Raw genomic sequence first — 7,421 nt, 5'->3', positions numbered from 1 at the left:
GATTTTACAGATTGTTTCCAAATAAATGTATTTTAGATTTCTGAAATTAACCTAACTAAATTAACCTAATTTCTGAAATTAACACCCACAGATTTTTGGGTCTTTAGTTATGTATCAACATATGGAGATACATCTCTAAGCCTTTACATTTCTGATCAAAATTTATTCTTACATATAATGCTGAACTGATTTAGAACAATTGCCTTTGTTGAAAGAAAAGCAATTTATTTCATTCACATCAATAAGATGTAATTGTATGTACAGTGAGCTGCGCTCACCCGGGCTAATGAATATTCAACCAGTAGTGAGAGGAGGGCGCCCCTGGAATGATTACTAGGGTCCCTTTCTGATTTACCATCGCACCCAAGAGTCAGGCAGGGACAACACAGCTTTCTCTTCCCAGCTCGATAGCTGGGCCCCGTGGCTCCGCCCACCCTGACGCAGGGGCCCGCCTGTCTGATTTGGGGGCTCTGGCAAAAAGCCTGAGCCCATTGATTACAGATCGCTGTTAATAAAGAGCATTTGTAATGCAGCAGTGGCGAGGCGGTCTCCGCACGCCGGTTCATGATGGCCCTTCAGGCTCCACAATTAAGTCGTCCAGCAGGCATGCCCCCTGTTGCAGCTGCTCTGTCAATCTCATTTTGGAGCACAAATGATCTTAGACCCGGTGTTTGACATGGGGTTTTAACACCAAAGAAGGCAATTCTGCAACTTCAAATGAGCCTAATTGGCTGAGCGCTCGGGCGTTCACTCAAGCTGCTTCAGTCCATCAGAGTGAGATTTCCAGCTAATTGAACTGCTCAGAAGGAAAAGGACCACGAGGAATCAAGAGGTGCCAAACCATTGGAGAGGGTGGTATATATTTTTTTCATGATAGCAAACTTAAAAATACATTCCTCCTCCTTAATCAGCCACCCGTCAACATAAAAAAGGTAGTTATCACAGCAGATGCTCACAAAGTTATGAACTAAAATTGAGTTGTTGCTGTTAAGAGTGTAAATGTACATGTGTTGCTGATAAAGGACATTTCAAAACACTTGGTCTGTAGAGCATTTTTCTGCATCACTCTCAAGGCTACCCTAAATAAAATCATGCAAATCTTAGCTGTGTGCCGAGGACGGAGGAAACTAATTAAAAGTGCCTCAGTTAGAGTCAATGTGTGCCCATCCATCACCACTTTCTGTTTTGATTCTTCTGTTAAATGGGGATCATATGGGGAGAGATGTAATATCTATATCTGTAGCTTTATCTATACCTGTAACCATATTCATATCTACGTAGCTGATATATCCATATCAATATCTATGTATATTTCATCGGTAACCCAGAATAAATATTATTCTGTGGACAATGACAATTTATATTGCAATAATAAGAGTATGATGAATAATCATTTGTACAACTCTTTGTGAAATATTGGTATAGTAACATGTTAGGTAGGATCTTGGAACCAAGGGAATTGATTTAATGTAAGTTTTTCCAAACTGAAGCATTTCTTAAAAACGATTAATTAATAACTTTTTAGGGGGTTCTGAGTTCAACACACATACGTCTAATTTACACAAATCTGGTTTTACATAAGTTGGTGCTAGTTGAAAATAATTAAGGGGAGTTATGAAGAAGACACAAAAAGATTTAGGATGGGCTCAATTTTATATAGATATGTTACTTCAGGTATTAAAAGAGAGGATCCAGGAAATATTTTACTACGTATTTTAAGATATGCAGGCAGTGAGTGAAATATGCTTAGCATCAGCCAATTTCCAGCCTGGTAGTATGTAGTATACATCTTATGGTGCCCAAGTCTAGGGTCTAAGGGAGAATACCTATGTTCAGGCTCAGTATTTTAAGTCTTTAGAGTTGTTCAATTGAGTTCCACCTCTGCTTTACTTTGTCACCTTTGGTAAGCCATTCAGGTCTCCTTGGCCTCAACTTTTTCATTTTAAAAAACAGCAGGACCAAGTATGCTCTACCAGCATTATCCTGAGGCTGCCTGATGAAAAGGGTGAAATGGTGAAATGGTTTCTTCCCATTTAATCTCTTTACTGGTGGAACCTGTAAGATTTTATACCCTGTATATAGTAACATTTCTATTCAAAACCCAAAAGAGATTATATCCTCTTCAATTCCCCACTCAAGGCAGATTTAGCAAGTAATCCTGTTTCAGAATTTGTCCAATTGAGATGAGTGAGTTTTGGAATCAGCATTGTGATACCTGCATGCTTAGAGTTCCAGACCAATGTGGAATGATGTTTTGCTCAAATAAGGTAACTCTCTAAAGGCTGAGCTGGCAGTAGAAAACCCAAACTTTTCTTAAATTTAATTTTTATTTTTATTAAAGTAATAAATGTACATAGCTAAAAGGTCAGCTAGCACTTAAAAGCTTGCACTAACGGTTACAACCTCTACCCAACCCCACTCTCCCCTAATTCCTGCTTTTCACAGGCGACCACTTGCTATTCTTGGAGCTTCTTCAGCATTATCACCTCTAATTTCTAAGTAAAATCCTGCCTCAGCATCCATGGGGAATTGGTTTCAGGGCCTCAATTCGATATGGCCCAAACTCAATATGGATACAAAAATCTGTGGATGCTCAAGTCCCTTGTATAAAATGGTGTAGCATTTGCATATAACCTATGTACATCCCCCTTTATATAGTACTTTAAATCACCTCTAGATTACAGATAGTATCTTATGCAATATAAATAATGGTTATAATGCATTGTATGGGGAATAATGATTTAAAAAAGTCTACATATGTTCAGTATAGACACAACCATTGTAGGCCTATCTACATTTTCCACCTGCAGTTGGTTGAATCTGCAGATATGTAGGGGAAATTGTAATATTGTCTAGTATTTCTTGATCCGTCCATTTTAGACACAATCTATTATTAATTTCTTGTTATGGAAGATGAGAAATTATTTTATGCCTTTCTTAACTTTCCTATCTCAACCTTCCATCCTCCTAGTATATCTAATTTTTTTTGTTAAATCAATAATGTACATTTTGATAACTAGGCAAATCCATTAATATAATGTGGCATAATTATTTTTACTCCCTTGAACACCATTTTATTTTCCTTGAAGTCAAAATTGACCTCATTTCCCCCTTCATTTATTTATTAGTCTGTTTGTAATGGGTTTATTGAGATATAACACAAAATTCCTGTGGTTGAAGTGTATAATTTAATGTTTTTTAGTATATTTATAGCGTTTTGCAACCATCACCCTAAACTAATTTTTGAACATTTTTAACGCTCTGAAAAGAAAGCTAGAACTCATTAACAGTCACTACCCCCTCTCCTTTTCCAACCATTCTGGTTGTAGGCATACACTAATTTCTATTTTATCCCTATAGATTTATCTATTCTGGACATTTCATATAAAATGGAATCATATGATGTGTAGCTTTCTGTGTCTGGCTCCTTTCACTTAGTATAATGTTTTCAAGCTTCATCCAAGTACCATATATCAGTACTTCATTCCTTTTAATTGCAAAATAATATTCCATTTTATGGATATACATAGATTTTCATTCATCAGCTGATGGACATTTGGGTTGTTTACACTTTGACAATTATGAACAATGCTGCCCTGAACATTTATGTATCCTCCATTTATTTTTACTTGTAAAGTTTCCTTTTTCTCCATCCTTATTTTTTTCTATATGTGCTTTCATATCTGATATATGACTATTACAGTTTTTTTTCTACACTGTTCAAATATATCAGATAAAATTTTCCCCCTTTTCTTCTGGAAACCTTTCATGTGGGCCTTCTTTTACCTTCTCTAATCTGCATGGTTACCCTGAAATCTGCTATATAGCTTTCTTACTGGAACATTCTTACAACGAACTCTATGCCACAGCCCCTATTTCTTGGATCCTGTGTCAATTTCTTTCTCAGTTGAGCCCCACCCCCCCCACGGCCCTGCCCCCTTCCCCCTATAGCTGAAGCTGTGTGGAGCATGTGAAGGCACCTGGTCCAACTGCTGTGTATATACACATGCTTTCAATTGACTTCTCTTCATCCTCCTCCAGTCCCTGAGCCTCCTGGGATTCCCAGGTGAATTGGCTCACTTCTCATTGGCAACCCCTCTGTTCTGCTTTCATCTCCCAAATATGTATACAGATGTCTCCTCTTTAGTTCTCTTTGTCCTTAAGATATTATATTTCCCTTGTCCCTTCACTATCATCGTGAAATGGATGGTCTTTGGAAAATGAGGAGGTAAATGGGTGGAATGGATGTCTGAGTGGGGGCTCAGACTTGATTTTAATAATTTAGTGTGGTTCTTCCAAAACCACTCTTTTTCACTCATAGGCTTACTGCCAGCTGGACAGTGTCAACCCTATCTCCTCTCCTTGGGATTAGAATTTTAATTTTTTTTAAAAAATAATTGTTAATGTTTATTTTATGTTGCCTATTTGTGCTTGTAAATCCTACATATTCTTAAAAATTATGAAAGCAAAAAATAAACTATCTATGGCTCAAAAATGGGTAGATATGGAGCAATCCTAAGAGGTACTGAAAGCATTTAGAATGGAAGGGAGCTTAAGGGAACAAGGCCTAACTCCACCTCTCAGGAATGAGAATAGGTTCAGTGAGGTCACCTGACGTTCTCTGGGTCCCACAGGTAATAGGTGACAGAGTCTCAAGGAGAATCCAGGTCTCCTGACTCACTCCAGTGAACCTCCTCTCCTGACCACTGCCTCCCATATTGTCCCTTGCCTTTACTGTGCCTCTCCTATTCCTGACAATATGCTGGTAAGGACCTCAGAGAGGAATCCTGCAACCTCTGTAGGAACACATTCCAGCACCTAGTGATCCCGTGAAAATTCTTTTATATATAAAATATAACAAACCTCTCTTTGCTCACAGTTAAAGCTTTTTTTATTTCTACCATGTTTCCTTAGTAGGGATGTAGAGTCTCTGGTACAATTAGTTTTGATGATTATCAAGTCTTTCCTCATTTTCTGTGTCTTCATGATTAAAAATGAGGTAAATAATACCCAGCACTCAAGGTTGTGAAGATTAAATAAAGTAACACGTGAGAGTGGCTACTATAAAATCTGGCACCCTATAAATACCAGAGTTCATGCTTTATTTTCCTTTAAAGTAAAGCTGTCATATGAAACCTTACATTGATATAAGGCAGGTATATGACATATCTAGGGCCATTATTTGCTTACTATGGAAAATGTTATGGAATTCCTTTGAATAAACTTTGACTTACGAACATTTTGTCAGTAAGCTTCTAGGTAAAGTTCACTCATAAGAATCTAGTTAGTAATGGATATGAGAGGTGAATTTCAATGAGGTGTTTCTGTGGGTGTGTTTAATTCTGTTTCTCAGCCCCCCTGCACTGAGTCATGCCCTGCATTGCCATGCTGATTGCGGTATTTCCCATCAGCATAAATTGTTGTGTCAACCAATTGCCTCTGTTTGGTATTTTGTTTTTCCAAGGTAGCCCATGTTTAGGAAAATTGTGTTCTAAGATTGTTATCTCTTCTTTATTCTTAAATAGCTTGTTCTTGATTTTGGGGAATTCTTTTGTAGTTTTTTTCCCCTTTGGGGATGTATGCTTAAATAATGACACTGTGCCAGTTTGGAGATCCATAAAGCTAAAAAGAGCCATAGATATCAATTAGCTTTTATTTCATAGATGAGAAAACTGATACCCAGAGAAGGGGAGTAACTTGCCCAAAGTCCCACAGCTGATTTACAGCCCAGCGCTCCTGACCTCTAGTCTTGCCCCCTGTCTTGACTGCATCCTGCTGAGCTGTACTCCATTTGTTCCAAACTATTATTGTTGCATATCTGAGTCATTAAAAATTCTGTCTTCAAGATTCATTTAGATAATTAAGTTAACATATTTAAATTTTAAAATAAAAACATCTATTTAAAAGTACAAAATGTATCGTAAATCTCTAAATCATTTATTTCCCTTCAAAATGTTTTATTTTGAAGAATCTCAAACCTACAGAAAAGTTGAAAGAATAGTACAGTGAATACTGTATAACCCTTTATTAGGATTAATTGTTGTTTTTGCCACATGTCTGTATACAATATATAAAGTGTGCGTATGTGTGTGTGCATGCATGCATATCCAAGTACTTAGCATGCATGTCCTAAGAACAAGCATATTGTCTTACATAATCACAATATCATTATTACATCTAAGTAATTTAACATTGATAGAACAACATTATCTAATAACAAGTCCTTTTCAAAAGTATCCAGTTGTCCCAAATAAGCTCTTTATAGCTATGTGCTGTGTTCAGTTTTTGTCATCATTGGCTATGGATGTGTAACAAATAAACTCCAAACTTGATGGCTTAAAACTATAACTATTTATTTATTTATTTACTTACTTACTTACTTACTTACTTACTTATTTATCACATTTCTGTGGGCTGACAGGGTTAGTTCTTCTTGAGGTAGTATCAGCTGGGGTCACTCATTTAACTACATGCAGCTGGCAACTGGAAAGTTCAAGCACTCTCCAGCCAAGTCCCTTGGCTGTGGACTGGTATCACTCCTTAGCCTGTTAGGAACCAGGCTACACAGCAGCGGGTGAGCGGCAGGCGAGCAAGCATTACCGCCTTAGCTCCACCTCCTGTCAGATCAGCTGGAGGCATTAGATTCTCACAGGAGCATGAACCCTATTGTGAACTGCATGCAAGGGATCTAGGCATTGTGCTCCTTATGAGAATCTAATGCCTGATGATCTGAGGTGGAACAGTTTCATCCTGAAACCATGCCCCAGCCCCGTGGAAAAATTGTCTCCCTTGAAACCAGTCTCTTGTGCCAAAAAGGTTGGGGACCACTGTCTTAAGGGCTTATCTGAAAACAAGGTCCATTGCCTTGTATTGGTCATAGCAGGTCAAAAAGCCAGCGCAGGTTCAAGGAGGGACATGGACTCATCTCTTGATAAGAACAGAGTGCATGTATAGGGAGGAGAGGGTAGGGGTTACTGGCAACCATCCTTGGAGACTACCTACCACATCTTTTCTTTTTTAATGTCTTTCAGGACATTGACATTTTTGAAGAGCTCATGCCAGTTGTTCAGTAGAATTTTTACAATCTAGATTTGTCTACTTCCTCATTATTAGATTCAAATTAAACAATCTTGGCAAGGACCTCACCTAGATAATGTGTACTTAGGAGGCATAAAATGTCAGTTTGTGCCATCGTTAGTGGTGCTAAGTATTTTCACTTGGTTAAGGTGTGTCTGTCCACATTGTAAATGTACTTTTCCCTCTGTAATCAGTAAGATGTGGGGTGATTTTTTTGTGTGACTTTCCCAGAAAACTTGCACCCAATTGTTTTAGCATCCAGCAGTTATCCTTGCCTGAACCAGTGGTAGTTATACATTGGTGATTTAAAATCATTTCTTCTAATTTACTGGTTGGCATTCTTC

The 7,421-nt window shown here is 37.8% G+C and overlaps 1 annotated feature.

Moving 5' to 3' along the window:
* Nucleotides 465–984: an enhancer, noted in NCBI's record as "OCT4-NANOG-H3K27ac-H3K4me1 hESC enhancer chr6:100729120-100729639 (GRCh37/hg19 assembly coordinates)". NCBI's record gives its function as "activates a minimal SCP1, AML or CMV promoter by ChIP-STARR-seq in primed H9 embryonic stem cells {active_cell/tissue: H9 hESC(primed)}" and the evidence as "EXISTENCE:reporter gene assay evidence [ECO:0000049][PMID:30033119]".

The sequence above is a fragment of the Homo sapiens genome, chromosome 6 (assembly GCF_000001405.40).
Source record: "Homo sapiens chromosome 6, GRCh38.p14 Primary Assembly".
In the NCBI taxonomy this organism is placed as follows: domain Eukaryota; kingdom Metazoa; phylum Chordata; class Mammalia; order Primates; family Hominidae; genus Homo; species Homo sapiens.
This window is presented reverse-complemented; position numbering and strand designations above follow the sequence as displayed.